This window comes from Homo sapiens, chromosome 6 (assembly GCF_000001405.40).
Source record: "Homo sapiens chromosome 6, GRCh38.p14 Primary Assembly".
Classification (NCBI taxonomy): domain Eukaryota; kingdom Metazoa; phylum Chordata; class Mammalia; order Primates; family Hominidae; genus Homo; species Homo sapiens.
Genome location: NC_000006.12, coordinates 83,510,851 through 83,533,488, shown reverse-complemented (window position 1 = coordinate 83,533,488; position 22,638 = coordinate 83,510,851). Strand labels below are relative to the sequence as shown.

Sequence of the window (22,638 nt, the reverse complement as noted above, 5' to 3'; positions counted from 1 at the left end):
TTGTCAAAGGCCTTTTCTGCATCTATTGAGATAATCATGTGATTTTTGTCTTTGGTTCTGTTTATATGCTGGATTATGTTTATTGATTTGCATATGTTGAACCAGCCTTGCATCCCAGGGATGAAGCCCACTTGATCATGGTGCATAAGCTTTTTGATGTGCTGCTGGATTCGGTTTGCCAGTATTTTATTGAGGATTTTTGCATCAATGTTCATCAAGGATATTGGTCTAAAATTCTCTTTTTTGTGTGTGTCTCTGCCAGCCTTTATGATGCTGGCCTCATAAAATGAGTTAGGGAGGATTCTCTCTTTTTCTATTGATTGGAATAGTTTCAGAAGGAATGGTACCATCTCCTCCTTGTAAAAATAAAGATGTTCTTTGAAACCAATGAGAACAAAGACACAACATACCAGAATCTCTGGGACACATTTAAAGCAGTGTGTAGAGGGAAATTTATAGCACTAAATGCCCACAAGAGAAAGCAGGAAAGATCTAGAATTGACACCCTAACATCACAATTGAAATAACTAGAGAAGCAAGATCAAACACATTCAAAAGCTAGCAGAAGGCAAGAAATAACTAAGATCAGAGCAGAACTGAAGGAGACAGAGACACAAAAAACCATTCAAAAAATCAATGAATCCAGTAGCTGGTTTTTTGAAATGGTCAACAAAATTGATAGACTGCTAGCAAGAGTAATAAAGGAGAAAAGAGAGAAGAATCAAATAGACGCAATAAAAAATGATAAAGGAGATATCACCACCGATCTCGCAGAAATACAAACTACCATTGGAGAATACTATAAACACCTCTACGCGAATAAACTAGAAAATCTAGAAGAAATGGACAAATTCCTGGACACATACACCCTCCCAAGACTAAACCAGGAAGAAGTTGAATCCCTGAATAGACCAATAACAGGCTCTGAAATTGAGGCAATAATTAATAGCCTACCAACGAAAAAAGTCCAGGACCAGACAGATTCACAACCAAATTCTACCAGAGGTACAAGGAAAAAATTTTTTAATTTAAAAGTTCTGTCTTCTAAGATTGTTAGCTGCAAATTTTTCTAACAACTCATCCATTTAAAGTAGGCTTAAGGAGAAAAAAAGTCCTATGTCCTCCTAGATCTCTCTCTAGGGTATACTAGTAAATTATTTTCTTCTATTTCCTGAAATTTATATTGTTTTGTGATCTGGAGTCTAGGTTAGTAGCAGTAGTTTAAATTCTAAGTAAAGCAAAAATTGCAGAGTTTTGACTCCTATCAATTAATAGGAGAGGAAGGGCTGGTCAAGGAAACACACAGGTATCAGAAAGAGGTCTCTCTTCCTTACCTTCCAGAAGCCCCTAGTACTCTGGGTATTAGATTGCTCTGAAGATCCCCGGATTGCTTAGCTAGCTGAGAAGAGGTAGGCTCCATAATGGACTGTTCTTAGAAATATGTTGTGTTGTGAGCTATACCACAAACTCTGGTAAGCTGAAGTTTAGGAGTAACATAATATTGGGGAAGGGAGGATGTCTAGTTTCAGAGAACAAAATTTGCACCAGCACACACAATCACCTTAGTTCTACAGGACCACATGATTGCTGATCTCTCCTCTTAGGAAATTCCAGTTTGTCTTTCACAAACATAAAGTAAAACAGAATGCAACTAATTTATTATATGCAACTATTGATTGTCTTAGGTAACTTTTGCAATTAACAATACCAATTACAATGATCAGCACATTATATTTGGTCAACATTTGCTCTCTACAGGGCAGTCCACTATGATTAGACAACTAAGGTATTTTATTTTGCATCCTGAACTTTTTTCATTATACCAGACTTACTGTGCCTATCTCACAGCACTGTATGTATGCATAAATTGGGTGCAGCTATTCGACAACTTTCAAACTTTCAATAACACACATTAGTCTTCAAAATACTCAGATATTTTTACCCTGAAGAATGACCAAAATATTGCGGTAACATTTTTTCCTCAATTTTTGAGGCTAGAATTTCATTTGAGCCTAAAAACAAGTCAATTCCATTGACCACTGATGTTTCTCTTATTTTAAACAAGACTTTAATAAAATGTCAAGCCATTTTCATGAAAACTTTTCTATCATGTAATGCCTTTCAAAACTCATACTGATCATGATTTTATATTGATTGCTCAGTCATCATTATAAACATAACATATATTGCTATGATTTCACAGGCTAATACGGCTCACAAAGCTACTTGCCCAAACTCAGTAGCTCCAAACTACTAAAATTTTATAGTACCTATATACCTGGGTTTTTTTATAGTTTAATGTTTTTTCTACATCCTCCTTCTCTGTCAGCTATCACTTCTTGAGACTGTTGGACTTGCCTCAGTAGCAGCCTTCTCATTATAGTTCCAGAAATCAGATAACCCAACTTGTTAAGATTATTTCTAGAGTAAAAGTAATTTTGTGGCATCTATGTCGGTTATTCAGAAGACACTGTTTAACTTAATTTTTTTGTTACATTTTAGATACTTGAAGTCATCAGAAAAGGAAGTTCTAGATAAGTGAGATATTGTGTGGTATATTACAAATTACTAATGAAATTAAATGCAAAATATAATATAGAAAAGTAAGGAAAATGAGTGTTAATTAGGCTGAGCAAAAGCCCAGAGGATCTTTCCAAACTCATCTGTGTTCGGTTGTGTGAACAGTGTTCAAAGTATTCCTCTTATCTATACTGCGTGTGAAAGTGTACACACACTTAAGTATAATATGAGCATGCACAGAGGATTTCAATAACATAAACACAAGTTCATATTAGTTGAATATTAGTAAACATTTACAAATACAAAGTGAAATATGATCATGCAGTCTCAGTTTGGTAAACTGTAAACCCAGTTGGTAAAATCACACAGGGAGGCAATAATGGATCCTATGATTGATTGCAATGTGGATCAAAGTAGATATTCTAAGTAAGTGGGCAACTTGTCCTCTGTGCTTGAGAAAAGTGAATGGATGTTAAGGTGTTACTGGAAATTTTTAAATACTACTAAGGCAAAAAGATTTTGGTGACAGGTTTTGAGGCAGAGGTTGTCTGATTAAATATTTACATGGCAGAGGAGAGGATAAGGTGTAGCTACAGAAGCTTGGCACTTGTCTGTTTGAAGGCAGTTTCTATCGTAAACATACATGAGTCAACAGAGAATGTGTCAAATATCTAATTCCTTAAGTCGCACGCTATAGTGTATTCCAATACTAAAATTCTCATTACAAGAAAATATTCCCATTATTTAAATATTTCGCTATATTTTTAATATGATACACAATTAAGACAATACCTATAGCATTTTGGAGCTTCAGCATATAGCATAGAGTAAGTAATGCCCTGAAAGAGTAAGCCTCAATGAATACTTGGTGATAAGTTTAAGCATGTATCCATCGTTGCCTCTGTGCCAGGTACGAGTACTTGAAATAATGATGATGAAAGTTAGGAAAAAGAGATTGGCTGTCCTGAGCTGCCGTTCATACCCCTTTGCCTAGTTTCTCTAGTGACACATGCTTGTGAATTCCCTGGGTCTGGCCCAAGGTGCAACTTGTAGGTTTAGAAGTTTAGTGCAACTTGTAGGTTTACATACGTGTTATGAACTGTGTGTCTGTGTCCCACACCCACCCCTAAAAATGTCACATGCTGAATCTCTAACCCCCAGTTGTGATGGTATTTGGAAATGGGGCCTTTGGGAGGTAATTGAGGTTAAATGAGGTAATAAGGATGGGGCCCTCATGATGGGATTAGTGTCTTTATAAGATGAAAAAACAGAGAGAGTCTGCTCTCCCTTTCTCTGTCATCCTGCTTGTGCACAAAGAAGAGGTCACAGGAGCATACAATGAGACGGCAGCCAATTCAAGACAAGAGAAGAGGTCTCAAAATGAAACCTACCTTGACTTTGGACTTCCTAGCCTCCAGCGTTGTGAGAATTAAATGTCTTTTGTTTCAGCCACCCAGTGTGTGGGGTTTTGTTATGGCAACACCACCACCTTACCTGTGGGTAAGCAAACTAGCCCATATTGGGATCAGAAGTCATTTTGCCCACCATGTTCTAGACAGTTAGCTAACTGGATCAAAACATCAGCTTTTAAATACAGAGAGGAAGAAGCAAGGAATTTCCCTCCCTAGATTTTATAAGTAGAAAAGAAAACCATCTGAGGATGGTTTTTCCGCTTAGTTGAATAGTGAATCAATAAAAACATGTGGGCGGGCACAGTGATTCTCACCTGTCATCCCAGCACTTTGGGAGACCGAAGCAGAAGGATCACTTGAGCCCAGGAGTTAGAGACCAACTTGGGCAACAAAGTAAGACCACATCTCTACAAAAAAAAACTTTAAAAATTAGCCTGGCATGATGGCACATGTCTGTAGTCCCAGCTACTTGGGAGGCTGAGGCAGGAGGATCTTTTGAGCCCAGGAGGAAGGCTTCAGGGAGCCACGATCACTCCACTGTGCTCTAGCCTGGGCAACAGAGCAAGATTTTATTGAAATTTTATTTTAATAAAAATTAAAACTTGTGAATCTGCCTATAGGTCGATGCTATTTGACGAGGACATGATTTCATCACTGATTAGACCAAATCTCCTAAATATCTCTGAACCTAATGATTTGGCCATTGAAGAAAGAGCAATGACCTAGTTGCAAAAATCAGTTTATTAAAAAGGCTCTTCTGTTAATTAAGTAAAGATGTTTTTGCTGATCATTTTTAGTAAAAGTAGTTTTATTGAAGTACTTTTAAAGCCTGGCAGGTACTTTTAAAAATCAGTAGCCAAAAAAGTATCTGTTATTGGGAAACCACCCTAAAGAATAATGATGCTAATTCTAGGTTATTTATAGCTATAGAGCCACATTCTTGTACTATCCAGTGCTTGGTCAAATTGCCTTATCCCAATATTCTTAATTAATAATCACAGTTTATGTTTGATGCGAATAAATACCTGAGTTACTAACACAAGGACAAAAACTTATGAGTAATTAAAATGGTCAACATTGGAATAAAATGCAAGACATACATAATATAATTTTTACACTATGTAGCAAACTGAATAACTTATGGTAAGTTATATTTCTGAATTTATTTTAATAACTAAACAATAAGGGGTGAAAATTTTTCTTATCACTGGACAACCATTTGCAGAGAATGTGATGGAAGGGGATTAAAACTTAAAGTATAGGGTTAAACTGATGATCTTTTATAGTCTCTTCTTATCCTGAGATTCTTTCTATGAAATAAGAATTTAAAAGAATTATTCTATCTACAAGTAAGAAGGGGTAAGAATGTGTCCAGAACTCTGATCTTGGTTATTGCTATTGTCTGAATGTTCACACCCCTCCAAAGTTTGTATGTTGAAACCTAACCCCAAAGGTGACAGTATTAAGAGGCAGAGCATGTGGGAGGTGATTAGGTTGTGAGGGCTCCTGCCTCATAACTGGGATTAATTCTCTTATAAAAGGGGCTTGCATAAGCTTGGGTGCCCATCCACTACATGAGGACACAACAAGAAGGTGCCATCTATGAGGAATGGACCTTCATCAGACACTAAATCTACTGATGCCTCCTTCTTGGACTATCCAGCCTTCAGAACTGTGAACAATAAATTTCTATCATTTAAGAGTTCCCAGTCTAAGATATTTTGTTATAGCAGCCTAAATGGACTAAGACAATCAAACATTATCTAAATCTTTTTCAAAATAAACAATGGATTAATTAAGAAGCATATCAAAAAGGAAAAAATTGTTAAGTTGCTTCTACCCACATGCATTTCGTTTGAACAAGAAAAAAATAAAATAAAATATGTTATTTAGATAAAGAGGGAATGCCACAATTTTAAATTTCAGTTGTTTTGAAAATGGTTATTTGAAATCCACCATTGGTAAGATTCCAGACAATAAGTCAGTACAGTCCTTTGCACACAGTAAACATGTATGCATGTAAGTATGTTTGTTTAGCTAAGTGAGTTCAATCTAGTTCTCAATTTCAAATCTGATAAACATAAGAGAAAAAGTATATGAAGCAAAACTTTCTGGTTAATGCAATACATTTTAGCGTTCCTAAATAGGTCATGTAAGATTCAGGATTCACTTGGAAAAGAAAAGTGCATGACAGAATTAAAACAAAACAAAACAAAACAAAACAAAAAACCTCTAGCCAGGCATGCTAATGCATGCATGCCTGTTATCCCAGCTACTTGTAAGGTTGAGGTGGGAGGATCTATTGAGCTCAGGAGTTCAAGGCTACAGTGAGCTGTAATTGTGCCACTGCACTCCAACCTGGGTGACAGAGCAAGACTGTTTCTAAAAAGAAAAAGAGAAAAAGTCTCTGCAAATTAAACAAGCTCAATTTTATATTTTTGAAAAGTATATTGGACAATGATTTTAAGAATTATATATATAATGAATATATACTCAGAATTTAACCTTAAGTACCAAACTATTTTATTCAGCACCCAAAGGTATTCTAAACTTACTCAAATGCTAGGAGTTATATTCAAAGACTCAAAGACGAAGATTCTGTGTAAGTGTCTGTGTGTTTGCAAGTGTGTAAGTATGCAAAATTGACCTTGGAACATTTTTGTTTCTGTGATCACATAGATGTTTTCCCCCCAAAAAATTGAGCAAAATGTTTGAGTCAATAGCCCTATACCACTGGAAACAATAATAAAATACTACTTAGTGAAATGTGCTTGGAATTAAATCAAATCATTAAAAAAAATAAAATGATAGTTAATACTTGCTAAAATCCTGTATACAAAACACATATGGCTGGGCATGGTGGCTCAAATTTGTAATCTCAACACTTTAATGCCAAAGCGGGAGGATCATTTGAGGCCAGGAGTTTGAGACCAGCCTGGTCAATGTAGCAAGACCCTATCTCTACTTCAATTAAATAAAAAATACAAAAGCATATATACAGATACAGTAAGAGTTATAGCTAATTTATGTTTTAATTTTTATGGAATTATTTTTAAGAGGTTTACATTATAAAAGAATCTGCACGGCCAGGTGCGGCGGCTCACGCCTGTAATCCCAGCACTTTGCGAGGCCGAGGCAGGTGGATCAAACGAGGTCAGGAGTTCGAGACCAGCCTGACCAATATGGTGAAACCCCGTTTCTACTAAAAATACAAAAATTAGCCAGGCGTGGTGGCACGTACCTGTAGTCCCAGCTTCTCTGGAGGCTGAGACAGGAGAATTGCTTGAACCCAGGAGACAGAGATTTCAGTGAGCTGAGATCACGCCACTGCACTCCACCCTGGGTGAGAGAGCCAGACATCTCAAAAAAAAAAAAAAAAAAAAGTCTGCACTTGTACTGAATTTCTGCTGTTTTCAACACCATTCACAAAATCATTTATCATAATCTAATCAATTACTTCTTGGCATACTAGTCCACAGTATAACTCCCCATTATTAAAAAATAATAAGATAAATTTGAACCCTGGCAGAATCAATGACTTAAGTGTGTCAAGAGAGAAGAGAATATGGCCTTAGAAACTACCAGAAAGAACAGACCAAACCAGAAATAAGGCCTGCAATTGCTGAATTTTACAGTGTACTTGATTATAGATCACTAAAATTCTTTAAACATAATGCCCTGAACTATTCTCTTTTTACAGCCTTTTAGCAAGTAGTTATTTATTCAATAAATACACATTGAGTGCCTACTCTGTGTTTTGCCCCAGGGCAGTCACTGGACTCTGCTTACACTACATGATGGCCAGAATGAGTGTTGCAGCCTTGGTTCCTAAGGAAAATAACCAGACCCTTCTTTTAAGTCATATTCATAAATTTTATTCATTTTTAGGAAAGGACATATCTAAAATTACTAATCAGAGAATTCACCCTATAGTCCTCATACAAAAGCTGGATTTTGTCAAGGAGAAAAAGACTCTTTCTTGAAAAAGATTACAGAATTCTTTGTCCTAAAAATGTAGCACCTCATACATAGAATGTATAGCATAAAATAATGTGGCTTTCAACACATGATCATTCATAATTTGTGAAGTGTCTTCCCTATGCATACATGAAAAGTCCATATTTTGAGTATTAGTTAAATAAAAACTTGAGATCTTAAAATGTCTCAGCTTCCCTATTTCTAAACTAGGTTTATTTCATAGAACAAACTATTTCTCCCATTTTTAAATAATACACATTGTAATTGTTATTTCTTAAAGCAGTAAAACAGTTATTAGTTTTGTTTATAATGCTTGCTTTTTCTTCTGATTTGTAATTCTTCAAAAAAACTAAACTAAATGTCCCAGACCCAACAGATAACACAATATAAACATTGAGGGCATGAGCTGAATGGATCCATCTCAGAGTAGTACAAACTGTGTTGTAACTTTCTGTCTCTATTCTGATACTAATTGCTTTACCATCTACCTTTATCTATGCAATTTCACATTTAATACACAACCAGCATCCTATTAGATTCTTCTTAGAGTAGGACCCTGAGAATAAGTCCATTAAGGAGTCACATGTTATTTATAATACCTGTTTGAAGGTTTAAAGTGTGTCTAATTTTTAAGAAGGCAACAAAATTTTTCTACAAATGAAACTCATCACCATGTAAAGAAGAGTATATACTTGGCATTGAAGTGCCCACCTAGTTTCAATATCTGCACCTATACATTTTTTAAATGGACGAAAATCTCCTGATTTTGAAAAATGTTGAAATGCTATTGACAGAGTTCAAGTCCAGGCATAACCTATGAAGTGATCTCACTACGGTAAGCAGAGCTGGTTTTCTCTGTGATTTAGATGATACACCGCCCTGTTTCAGGTCTCTGTTAGCCGTAAGCACAATTGGCATCGTTCCCGTGAATCCAGAGGCAAATCTGGGCGTATTTTAGGGGAGTGATGCGAACAGCAACGTTGTAGTCCTTCTGAACCCCGTGGACATCCACCCACTGGTGCCCTGAGTAGACCGCAATGATTTTGCGCTTCCAATTCTTTTTGTCTGGATCTTTCAGACGCAGATAGACCCCCGAACCGGTGGAGCCCGACTCAGCATCGCAGTATTGGTAAAGGAGATCATTGGATTCGTCGGACACACTGCAAAACCGATAGACCAACTGATCAGCCCTATCGTTATCAAATCCTGAGAAGTGGATCATTCCACCAGGCATTTTCTTGATCGTTGGGCTGATTCCAAGTTCCATGTATTTCTTTTTGTGAGCACGCTTCAGCTCCAGAAGAGCATAGTCATAGTCCAAGGTAGCGTCCCCCATGCCTCCTCGTGCCCAGCCCTTCGGAATGTGGGTATTCTTGACCCGGGTCCACTGAAAGGAAGGCCTCCCTTCGGCAATCCTCTGACCCCGGCCAGATTTTTTTCTTCTTCTCCCACCCTTCGCTCTCTCCCGCAGATGCTCTCTGGTACCCTCTCTTTGGTCACCACCACTAGCTTCTCTCCTGCTCCTCTTAGAACCTCGACGTTTCTTGCCTCCACTTTTATTCCTCATCTTCAACAACCCTACCCTTAGCTTTTTACTCCCTTTGACATAGTCCTTTCCATCATGAACACAGTGGGCAGCAGTTAGAACATGCTGAGGGGAAATGAGAATGCCACTACAGCCCGTGGAAAGCTTCACAGCTGTGCTGAAAGGGAAATTGGTTAAGAACCTTTTGTCCAAGATGCTGAACCTGCTGTCGGTGCCATACACCTGTCTCTTTCTCCTAACAGATACTCCCTTTGTGGTGATATTTTGAGTCGGCTCAAGAACCAAATCTTGAACTTTCACCCTGGTTAAGGTTCGGGTGCCATTCTCAAAGACAGTCTCATAGGAAAGATAATCCTCCAATTCAGAAAGGCTGGGAGTTGGGAGTTCTTTCTGGCATTCGATGCCACACACTGTATTTACCATCATCTTAGCATCTGCCTCAAATGCGGGGCTGGTGAGATGGAAAGTCCTTTCACTGACAATCCGGGGTACCTTTCTCAAGTGCCACATAAAATCCCATTCCATTTCAGATCCATCAATGAGGGTCCACCCAGGGGTGAAAAATATCAACCAAAGCAGCATATTTTCCATTTTGATCTTCTAATTTTGTCCTTAAAAATAGAAAAAGAGAGAGGTTTATAATGTTTCCTTTTTAAATCTTACTTATCCATTTCATTCAGCCCTTGGATCCTAAATGTACCTTCACCACAAAGAGGTGTCCTTATTTTCACCTTACCTAGATTTTATTGAGATTAGATAAACACTGGTAAGTGGGCTCACACAGACTTCCAAAATCAGTAAGTTGTTTTCCACCCAAACTTCCCTCCACCAGCCCTAATCCACCTCGCTCCCACCCCAACCTGTCATCTCCACCTCTATCTCCCCTAATAGCCTCGTGCCTGAGAGAGTAGAATACGGTAGTAGGTTGGAATCCTCTGTCGGCTAAGCCACACTCTCCTCCTTAGATATCCTACAACTTTTTATCCAGATGATTTAGAAATAAAGATAAAAGCAAATGTGCTGCAGTCTTTTCCCACACTTAGCTACTTAAAAATAGGGATCATAACTTCTCCATCTCTAGACTGTAACTGCCTAGCACAGAGCTCAAAAAACTGCTCATTGGATACAGTGAATGTCCATGAACCAGGATTCGCAGCCCAAACTGATGTGAAGGTGCAATGCAAATTCTTGGATAATGTTTTAAAGCAGTAAGAGTATTAGCAATAAATAAATTGCTAATTAATCTTCTATTGATCTGTTTTGATTTGTATAGAATGCCTGGTCATAAAAAGAAAATATATAGCACAGGCCATTTTATGCTAAAGTAAGAAAAATGTACCATGTATTTTTAAAAAACAAAGTTGTGCTTGAAACCACCCTCTAAGCAAAGCTCCATACAAAATGCCTTATGGTGGGACTTTACTGCATATTAAAATTATTTGTAAGAATTTATGAAGTACAGGCTGTTTGGGGGGGACATGAGAATGGTTAGATATAGTCCCTTTTCACCGTAGGTCTCACCATCTAAGACCAGTGTTCTTGTGTTATTTAAATATTGTTAAAGGTGCCAGTACATAATAAATTATATAATACCTCTCCTACTATTCACATCTTCTTGCCCTCTTTTTCTTTTCTTGAGGCTCACTGGCATGTACATGTATCTATTTAGTGGAACTGATATGTATCAGCCATCTTTGCTTGGAGGTGGGTATAGTAGGAGCATGCTGGAGCAGCAATTTTGAACCTCTGTGTCGCTAGTATTTGCCAACTATGCTCCAAGTCATTTTTAACTAATAGTTAAAATATCAAGACTTAAGCAAATGATTTGTACTTTGTATAAAGCAGAGGCAATGCAGCATTCGCTTATCCCTACAATACATTCATCCTCAATGCTTTCTGATAAGCTTTATTTTATTTATTTCTTTTTTGCATGGAAAAGAAAGCACATTAGCAATGGCCCACAGCCATTGTACCACAGGGTACACCCACAGGATGTGTGCACTGGCACAAAAGGGAAAAGTCAACCCTGATGCAAAGTTCAATATCGGTATCCCTTGATACAACAGAATTTATGTTGCCATATACAAATACAATAATTTTATTAACAAACTAAAACATTCTTTTGATGAAAAATGTATGCTACATTAACCTATTTATTGTTTAAATGTGATATATTAATGAAAACATAACATAATTAATTTGAACCATTATACATTTGGAAATATTAAGCAGGCCGGGTGTGGTAGCTCACACCTGTAATCCCAGCACTTTGGGAGGCTAAGATCGGAGGATTGCTTGAATACAGGAATTCAAGACCAGATTGGGCAACATACTGAGACCTCATCTCTACAAAAAAAACTTTTAAAAAATTAGTCAGGCATGGTGGCACACACCTGTAGTCCCAGCTACTCAGCAGGATCGCTTGAACCCAGGAGGTCAAGGCTGCAGTAAACCATGATCATGGCACTGAACTCCAGCCTGGGCAACAAAGTGAGACCCTGTCGAAGAGGAGAGGAGGGGGGGAGGTGAGGGAAGGGAAGGAGAAGGGAGGGGAGGGGAGGGGAGGAAATCTGCATTTACGTCACAATATTTTCTAATAGTCACCGCTGCAAAACAGTAATTATATCATCAAGGATTTTGTAGAGTAGAGCCACTTAGTATTTTATTTTGTCTTCTATGCAATTTTTCTCAATAGTATTTCATCAAGTTTATTTAATTAGAATGAAAAAGGCTCACAACTCAGTAACTCTACTGAGCGCTTGAAATTGTAGTTCCCAGGATGAAAATTTATGTCCTTGGCTGAAAAAAAAAGTGAAAATCAAAGAGTTATTTGCTGCTACTTAGCTTATCAACAAACCAAAATAGATAAAAATGATATATATCATTATGTATATTTTTAAATCTACTTGATTCTCAGCAAAATTTCAATCAAGGGAGTTGTTTTGGTGTGGGAAACTTTTTTCTTAATTGCTTTTTCATTTAGCTCTTTATGACAACAGCTGTCCACTGTGTACTTAATATATGATTACATCAAAGCTTGAAAGTCAGCCAAATATCCACGTCAAGAGACACAAAGTATCTCATTTGGTATATCTTAATGCTTGGTACTAATGATCTGAGGAGCAATACACTTGTGAAAGGCATTCCTGGGCAAAATAAAGGATGTCTAAATAGTGTTACTGTGATATTTTTTCCCCAGTTACGTTTATCCTGTGCCATAATTCTGTAGCCAGACTTTTAAGAAAGCCTCATCAGAGTTGAATTGTATTTAAGTATAATTTTATTTCTGGCTATGTAGATGACACTGGTTTATAAAGCTATTGTTCTAGTCAAAGGCCTTGGACAATACTTTGGAAATTTTCAATGCTATTTGAAACCTGGCTTGGTACAAAGCAATGATTTGACTTATCAAATGACAATACCAATGATATAGGCATGGTTTTCCTTCTCTGTGTTCACGTTCACATTCTCACAGCAGTTACGAACGGTGGTTGAGAGCCCATATCTTGGTTGCTCGCCAAAAGGAAACACCAGACCAGGGGTTCTCAAAGGACAGTCCCTACACTAGTAACTTCAGCATTACCTGGAAACTTGTTAAAAATGCTAATTCTCAGGGCCTGCCCCAGACCTACTGTTAGAAACTCTCCTGAAAGGGTGGTGGAGAGTGACTCCCAGCTAGGTTTAACCGGCCCTCCAGATGACTTTGACACTCAATAAAGGTTAAGAACCACTACAGTAGCCAAGGCTCTGGTGTAGCAACATGAGCCATACCCCAGAAGGTGGTCTTTCCAAGGATGATGGCTTACCCGGGTTTTAAATGACATCTGCTTCATCTCTGTGTACAAAATTAATTTATTCTGACTTTATGCTTTTACTATGTTAGCAACTGACAATATCAAATAACTCAGCCAATTAATAAAAAACAAACATAACTAACTTTTATTTTTATTTTTAATTATTTTTTGAGAGTCAGTCTGGCTCTGTCACCAAGCTGGAGTGCAGTGGTGTGAACTAGGATCACATAGTGATCCTATGTGCATCATATGTCTCAAAAAAGTGAAATTCATAAGGTTTATATGTAATGCCTCCAATATCTCATACTACAGATCATTCAATGGCAAAAGTGAAGTTCATAAGGTTTATATGTAATGCCTCCAATATCTCATACTACAGATCATTCAATGGCATTGGTTCACCAGCCCTGCCTGGTGCCCTTTGAGGGAGCTCTGTGCAGTGTACCACAGGAATAAAAACCATGCCCACGTCTACCCTTGGGTATGGGAAGGGCAGAGCTTTGTAATATGACCTCAGAATCACAGTAATAAGAGGACATGGATTTAGTTAGCCTAATTTGGCCTGTAATTTAAAATTGGGCAAATGTTTAAAGACACTTTCTTTTGGAAAATCTAAGTTTGTCTTGTGGTAAAATGTCAATGTGGCATAAATGATAGCTCTTACTGATAGAGCAATCCACAGTTTGTTCAGTGGAGACATCTACATATGCCCATTATCCAAAAAGGACTAACTCATTGATCTAAAAAGACACAGTCCCAGTTGAAGGGGCAGCTATAATATTTTGAAAGTCTAACATCCCTTGGCTTCCCCATCCCCCTCATTTTTCCTGTCTTCCAATATAACTGTGACCTTCACTGTCCATTTCCAGATGGCTTGCATTTGGGGCTTCAAATTCCAATTTTGGTTAATGAAAGCAAAGTTGCAGTGATTGCTGCCCACCACTGTGAGTCAGCATACACACAGCTGATTATGGGCTGGATCCTGAAGACAGATTGAGTAGAAGGGAATTAAGGAAGAAGTAAGAATATCTGTGTATGTAGATGAACTCTTACTGATGGAAGAGATGTAATTACACATTTGTACCCAATCTATTAATAGAAGTGACCACACTTGACTACGAGATCACTTACTATTACCCTTTTGTTATTTGTTTATAGTTTCTTAGAAATGTGATTGCTGACAGCGTTGAGAATATTTGTGTATCTGTACCAGCATAGTGGTTATGAGTGCAGACCAAGGAGTGGGAAGGCTTGGGTTCAATTCCCTTTTCACCACTTATGAGGCATGTGCATGTGGGCAGTTCATTAACTCTCCAAGTTTCACTTTCCTCATCTGCAAAGTGGGGATAATATTATAGTAATTTCGACTTCATAACATTGTTATGGAGATTAAATGAGATGATACACGCAAAGAATTACTACTGAGCCCAGAGGATAGTAAGTAGTTAACACATGTTATTTTATAATTATTATCCTACCTTAATTGGTGAATTTGTATCACTTCAAAACAGGTTGTTATATAAGCCAAAATTAGAGATCTTGTAGTTTTCTAAAAAGTCAGTTTTACAGTCAAATATTTTTATTTCAAGATAGTTTCCAACTCACTCTAAAATTCGCTTTTTCTTTGTTTTGTTTTTCGTTCAAGGACAGCTTCACTTTAGAGACTTCCCAAATGAATGCTTTCCTAATTACTCATTTCTATGAATATCCATGGCTCTGTAATATATTTTTCTCATTGCTATTAAACTTAAGTGTGATTAAACACTATGCAGCCACAAAACACTTAAATTGCATTTTCTGTGTCTTATTTATAGCCTGGATCTACACTGGGAATTTTGGAACTGCATCAGACCCTCAGCCTAAAAAGAAACAGAGTCTATGTCAACATAATTACTCTAAGGGAGTGATCTACAATGAAAAAAAAACAACTTTTTGAGTGAGTCTATCTAGAGTATATAGAATCCTATGATGAAATGACATTATACCTTAAGGCTCAGTTTCTCTTTTGTGTTTTGTTTTTTACCCTAGAAGTTTATAGTCTAGCTTAGATAGAGCAGACAAACTAATGAAAGATTAGATGGCTGCCCACTATATTAATATTTCAAATCAATTATTTTTCCTGTCTATGAGAAAGCAAAGATGCTGACTTACCATTGAAGGACCTGCATTGAATTGCTTTCCCTCACTAGGTGACAGATTCACAATTACTTATGCCTTTCTTTTCACCTGGTTCCTTGTAATGTCTAGTGAGGTACTTGTCCATATTTATGTACATAGCATGTTGCCATGGGACACAACTTTGCATTGATCCATCAAACAGTTCCTGGGAGGCTGCTGTGGGTCAGGAATTACTCAGTCATATCAATGACCCCATAGGGCCAACACCACCCTCTACTTTAGTGTGTATGTTAGTACACACCAATGATTGCATGACCACCTTTTAAAACTTGGCTGTCCTCTATTTAGCCATCTGCAATCCCAACCACCTGTGCTTCCTAACACCACTGGCTCTGTTTACATGCATACCTAAATGTGAAGACATGCCCTCATTTCCTCCTCTACTTTCATCCTCCACCTACTCAGGATTGACACACAACAGGGAGACACTGGGGCCTGGCCAGATGATTCTGAATAACTGCAGAGAGAAATGGCTTAGGCAAAAGGCCACAGCAGGAGAGGGGGAGAATTACAAGTGACATAAACAGGAATAAAGCAAGCACTAAAGAAAGCGGTGATGTTTTGGATGACAATTGTAAAAACTTTCATAGTCAGTTTTATTTGGGGGAACAGATGCTGAGGAGAGGGGGTATCTTATGAAAACTAATTCCTGATCCACTGAGGCGCTCCCTGACAGCAGCACTACATGGAGGTAACATTTAATTTAGAGAGTGTATGAGAAAATAACAGTGTCTGTAACGTAATAAAAAAGGGGAGTAAGAACTAGGGTGTTTCAATGATTATGGGGGCAGTGGGCTTTGAAGCCAAATCAACCTTAAGTACACTTGCCACTTGTTACACTGTGATCTTGTGAAGGTTACCTAATCTCTCTAGACATTATTTCCCACATTTATTAGATAGAGATAATATTTGAGAATATTTTTGTGAGAAACTAATATGATAAGCACAATGCCCAGAGCACAGTAAGCACTCCACAAAGATTAAAGCCAATGTTTTTCATATCAAACAGGGGGAGCCAACACTCAGGTAGATATTTACAAGGTATTTCATACATCTCTAACTGCCTCATTGTGGTATGCCAAATATCCTCATCCCCAGGACCTGTGAATATTTCCCACACACAAGAAAAGAGACTTTACAAATACGATTACATTAAGGATTTTAAGGTGAAGTGGTTATTCTGGGTTATCCAGGTGGGTCCAATGCAATCATAGGGGCTCATATAAGAAGGAGGCAGACGGGTTAAGAGTGGGAAGAGCTGATAGATGTAAGCGGAGGCCAGAGCAATGCAGGATCATGAGCTGAGGAATATGAGTGGCCTCTAGATGCTGAAAAAGGTAAGGAAAATTATTTCCTAGAACTTCCAGAAGGAGGAACATAAATGAAAATGTGTTGTTTTAAGAAAAATATGAAGAAATATAATTTAAAACTAAAAACAGAAGATCACAATACAACTTCAGATTTCTTTTTTTTTTTTTTTTTTTTGAGACGCAGTCTCTCTCAGTCGCCCAGGCTAGAGTGCAATGGCGTGATCTCGGCTCACTGCAAGCTCCGCCTCCCAGGTTCACGCCATTCTTCAGCCTCAGCCTCCCCAGTAGCTGGGACTACAGGCGCCCGCCACCATGCCCGGCTAATTTTTTTTGTATTTTTAGTAGAGATGGGGTGTCACCGTGTTGGCCAGGATGGTCTCGATCTCCTGACCTCGTGATCCGCCCATCTCGGCCTCCCAAAGTGCTGGGATTACAGGCGTGAGCCACCGTGCCCAGCCAAAACTTTAGATTTCTGATCTCCAGATGCATAAGATAATAAATTTGTGTTGTTTTAAACCACTGAGTTTTCGGTAATTTGTTACAGCAGCAGTAGGAAACTGCTACACTTACAAAGGTGAGAATCGAGTTTTTACAACAGTCTGCCTGACTGTTTAGAAAGAAAGTAGTAGTAGGGAGTGGCGGAGGCTGTGGCTCACACCTGTAATCCCAGCAGTTTGGGAGGCCTAGGTGGGCGGATCACTTGAGGTGAGGAGTTCCAGACCAGCCTGGCCAACGTGGTGAAACCCCGTCTCTGCTAAAAATACAAAAATTAGCCAGGCATGCTGTTGTGTACCTGTAATCCCAGCTACTGGGGAGGCTGAGGCAGGAGAATCCCCTGAACCGGGAGGCAGAGGTTGCAGTGAGGTGAGATCACGCCATTGCACTCCAGCCTGGGCAACAGAGCGAGACTCCGTCAAAAAAAAGAAAAGAGAAGTAGTAGTAGTAGGGAGTGATTAAAAAGTAGAAAAGGGCCGGGCGCGGTGCCTCACACCTGTAATCCTAGCACTTTGGGAGGCTGGGATGGGAGGATCACTTGAGTCCAGGAGTTTGAGAGTAGCCTGGGCAACATAGGGAGACCCTGTCTCTACAAGTGTGGTGGCGCATGCCTGTGGTCCCAGCTACTCTGGGCTGAGTTGGGAGGATCACCTAAGCTGGGAGGTGGACGCTGCAGTGAGCTGTGATTGTGTCACTACACTCCAGCCTGGACAACTAGAATGAGACAGGGCAACCCTGTCTCAAAGCAAACAAACAAAAACAGTAGAAAAGAATGTTTCCTTCTGGGACTTAAAATATAAATGAAAATGTGTTATTTTAAGAAATAATATACAGAAATGCAATTTTAAAACTAAAAACAGAAGATCACGATAAAACTTCATAGTGGTAGGATGCAATATTGCTAGAGGAAAAACAAGAATTAGAACAGGATAGATAAATTTGTCTATTCAACAAATGCATACCACCTGCTAACTCCGCCATGCATTTCGAAGCCTTTATTTTAAAGAATCTCTCTGATAGTCCTTAACTGTTGAGTTGGACTAGAACATTTCTAAGATTTCTTCCAGCTTTAAAGTTCTAGAGTAAACCACAAATGAGAAAACACAAGTAATTTACTCATCAATGCTTCTCAGGAAGGTTCAATTCCTAGTCATCCAGGGAAGAACTTGCCTGTTATCCATGTTGCTACCACTAGATGGCAAAATTAGCCTGGTGATGGCAAATCTAACGCAGGTATTTAAAATGTTTACACTTACTCAGCTGTGAAATAGATTTTATTTTAAAAGCATGTAAGATTCAGCAGGGGCAAAACTTTTAACTGGCTAATAATATACTAAATGGCTGTGACATAGGGAGACATATGAAATTTATTATATTTAGAAAACCCACCTACCTACAGGCCACAGAGCCCATCCTGATGAACTGAGGGCTGATAATGCTGTCTACAGTCAGACAATTTTCTGGCAGATAGTTTTTCAAAAACAGTTGTAGTGCCAGCACACTTCCAGCATGACCTACAGCACTGTTAACTAGTCCCCCAAATGTGCCACAATTTATTTCAATGCTAAGGAAAATCTTGAACCTGCCAAATATTTCACGTTTATCAAATACTTTATAATCCATTACTAAAGGATAAGCTCTCCACTGATTCTAGGCTGAGAATAAATGGCAAGAAAGTTCATTGACAGTGGGCCAATTTCTATTCAAAATATCATACCATAGCACTATTTTCAAGTTTAGTTTCATAAATGGAGACCAAAAAAATGTCTGCTTAAAAAGTTTGGCAGTACTTGAGGGAAAGGAAGATGGTAAAGTTACACAGTTGATTATTTTACAGTAACCCACAACTTCTGTTTCTCATCACAATAAAAAACAAAACCTCCCTTTGTTTGGGGGCTATTTTTCCATGACCTGTACATCTCAATTTGTGCAATCCTATGGATAAATCAAATTTTGGGTGAATGACATTAAAGGAACCCCAAGAGGACTCTTTCATATGCTGCCTTATGAAGTGCACAGCATATAGCTCTAGACTTATCTGTATTTTTCAAGTTGGCCTTTGAGAGCAAAGAATATCTATAAATAGGTATGCTACTTTTCAGGTTTTAAAGCATCTATGGTCACAATGTTTTTAGCTAACCCACATCAGTTTTACCTATACGAAGCTTAACGTTTTTTAGTTATAAAATAATAGCTTGCATACTACTAACTTAACTTTACTGTTTCCTAACCTCTCCATCTCAGATTTCTCATCTGCAAAGTTACCTCAGTGCTAAGGTAAAGTAGCTCTATCCTCCCAAATTCTGAGTCTGATCCTACTGTTAAAATGCAATATGCTTGTTTGATATTTGAGCATTGGGCAGAGGAAAATCATTTACCCAATGGAGAAAATTAACTCACACTAGCAATTGCTTATTTTAACATCTAATGAACACATACTGTATGCCAAGTATATGCTAAACAGTCTCACATTTTAAAACGTGAAAAAGCTTCTTAAAAGCATGCAGTTTTCCCAGCTATCTGGAAGAAAAATGGGGTACAGTATCCACATCTACCACTTCCCTCACTAAAGGAACTCCTCTAATATTTCCTAATAAAAATAAAATTCCATATGATACTTGGCCTCTACCTTCAAGCCTACATGTCTTATTTGGCAGGGATTTTAACATTCTCTCTTCTAAATTATAAACCAGATTCTAAGTATAATTCTCCAGCCAGCAAAATATGACTTTTATAATCCTCTGTGGAGACAAATGTACTTCGGATAAAATAAGAATGAATTTCAGAAGTCAGAAGGGTTAATAAGGGGTGAAAGCCCCCTAGACACAGCAAGCAGCTTCTTTTCAAATCAAGGACAGTGTAAAAATGTCAGAGCAATCAAGCGGGAGTGTTTCTACAACTTTTTAAAAAACCTTTTATTATAGAAAATTTCAAGACTACACAAAAGCACAGAGAAAAGTATTAAGTTGAGAGAAAAGTACAACCCCCATGTGCACATCACCAGCTTCAACTATTGTCAATATTTTGCCAATGTTTCATCCACCATCACCACCCCACACACTTTTTTTTTTCAGCTAGAGTATTTCAAAGCAAGTCAAAAGCTTTTCTACTTCATTTCGCCGCCTCATTTTCTAAACGTTTTCCTATGCTCCTTTTGCTGACCTCCGCAGCCAAGTTGATAAAAGGGTAGAGGGGAGAGGCTAGCTTTCATAGTAACCCCGCCAAAGAGACTTTTCAGGAATGCGTTTCATACCTTTCTCAATGGCATCTGTTAACAATCATAAAAATAAAGAGGGTCCCCTCTGGTACTGCTTAAGCAGAAAGAATTCCATTTATATTCCAATGCAAACATTGTTGTCGTTAATATTAAACTGTGCAGAGGCCGGCACACAGAATTGCCTATGGGAAGGGTGGTTAGTTTCTTTGAGGACTGAAAGAAAGTGTCAAGTTTGATCCCTTTCTTCAAAGTCCTTCAAAGAAGCTCTCCTCGGGTAGGTCCTGCCTTTCTCAGGGAAATTTCTAAGTTCTAAGGTTGTTGGGTTTGGGGAGCTTCATCTTTACCTGCCAGGCTTGTTTGGTCCCCGAGGGCACTGTCAGCTGAGATCAGAGCTCCCGAGGAGGCGGGCGGGGACGCTGCAGCTGGGAGCCTCTCAGCCAGCCTGAGCCGGAGGCCGCCCCGCCAAGGCCGGGCCACAGCACCCAGAGCTCGCCACTGAGACTGCGGAGGGGGAGAGAGCTGCGCCGCACCACGGCCGGGAGATGGGAGGGGAAAGGGGGCGATGACGAGGGGCGGGCGCGGTGGGATGGAGTGGGGGGAGGGGAGGAGGAGGAGGTGGGCAAGAGGAGACGGAGAGGGAGGGCGGAGAGGGGAGTTCCCTGGAGGAACGGGGCGGACCTGGCCGTGTCTCACCCCAGCATTTCTGCCCCCAAGCTGAATTAAGCATTAGGAAAAATTCATGAGTAGGTTCACAGGGGATGCCTGTCCCTGTAATAGTATGCACTCCTTTAACAGTCTCAGGAGTTGTTCAGTTAAGAGTCTCATTCCTCACTGCTTGCTGTTGAGACCCCAGGCATCTAGAAGAACGGAGGGCGTCTCCCCAACCTTATCCCAAGCTAGTCTCCACCGGGGACCTAGCTTCTCTGGATGCACAAGCCTCAGGGTTACCCCGACTTGTACCAGGCGCCCAGGCTGCACACGAGGATGGGGACCTCAGGCTGGGACGCCTGGACCCCCGGGAGCATCCTGCGCTGCCTCCAGGGGGAGCGCGTCAGTTTCCGTCTGCAGGGAAAAGGCTGGTTTTCCTCTTTGGGCGAGTAACCTTTAAGGTCCTTTCCCATCTCAGTCCCACCAGCATTCTAACCTCATCCGTTCTCTCGACCTTTTATTCTCCTTTAGGAGAGGGGTGGGGGCCACATGAGAAAGGAAGCTTCATTTGTTTAACAACAAATTCTAGTGGGTGACAGGTCTGGGGCAAGATGAACTGATACAACGAGAGAATACATAAACAAAAACAAAAACAAAAACAAAAAAACTCGGTCCTGGCCCTAAAGCAGGGAGATCGAGTAAGTGCACAAGTACTTACAACACAAGGTCTTAGCATGTCTTGTAACACTTGGTTCGTTAGTAGGTTATTGCGTATCTCAAGTTCTGTGTACTTTTAATGAGATTATAACATACTTAGCATTGTCCCTCGTTATACTCAACGGACTAGTTCCAGGCCCTCTTCCCCTCCGCCCCCCCATACTAAAATCATCCCATATTCAAGTCCAAGTCCAGCTGTGGGCCCTGGGGAACCCGCGTATAGGAAAAGTCTGCCCTCTGTTTAAGCATTTCTGCCTGAAAATACTGTTTTCTATCCGCTTTTGGGTGAAAAAAAAAATCTGTGTATAAGTGGACCTGTGCAGTTCAAATATGTGTCCAAGGGCCAACTATATATACAATTTCATTGCTGTTTTCTCATTTAGCATTGTTAACATAAGCATTTACCCATATATTAAAATCTATTGGTAATTTTTACCAGTTAGAATTAGTTCTGAAGCTCTCTGTCACCAATTAGATCATAATAGTCATATGCATCTTTGAATCACCACCATCTACCACAGGGCCTGGCATATAGTAGCTGCTGCATTAGACGTGGAACTAAAAAGTTTGCTAGTCAGATGGAGTGTGGAGAAGTCACAGAGAAAGTCCAGAACTCAGAATGGGAATTCCGCCTGACACTAAATAGCTGTGTGCCCTGGGCCTCCGCTTTTTCATCTGTAAATTGAGATGGTTGAGCTGGAGGAGTTCCAAGGCCTGCAGCTCTCAAACATTTTTGGGATTCTAACACTGTATAAATCCAGAAGGATTCACTGTGGACCCAGGTCTGCTTCCTTCACTTTATTCAGCATTCTCCACTAGCATC

The 22,638-nt window shown here is 39.2% G+C and overlaps 1 protein-coding gene across 2 annotated transcripts; it reads right to left on the bottom strand.

Moving 5' to 3' along the window:
* Positions 1-7,784: 7,784 nt before the first annotated feature.
* Positions 7,785-20,955, bottom strand: PRSS35 (serine protease 35). Of its 2 annotated transcripts, NM_001170423.2 has the most exons (3): positions 20,795-20,955; positions 11,850-11,954; positions 7,785-10,067 (listed from the first exon to the last, which is right to left on the bottom strand). In NM_001170423.2, the coding sequence occupies exon 3, from the start codon at positions 10,045-10,047 to the stop codon at positions 8,806-8,808; it is 1,242 nt and encodes a 413-aa protein (NP_001163894.1). In that variant the 5' UTR covers positions 10,048-10,067; positions 11,850-11,954; positions 20,795-20,955; the 3' UTR covers positions 7,785-8,805. The 2 variants fall into 2 exon arrangements, with proteins under 2 accessions (NP_001163894.1, NP_699193.2); NM_153362.3 differs by lacking the exon at positions 11,850-11,954.
* Between the last annotated feature and the right edge of the window lie 1,683 nt (positions 20,956-22,638).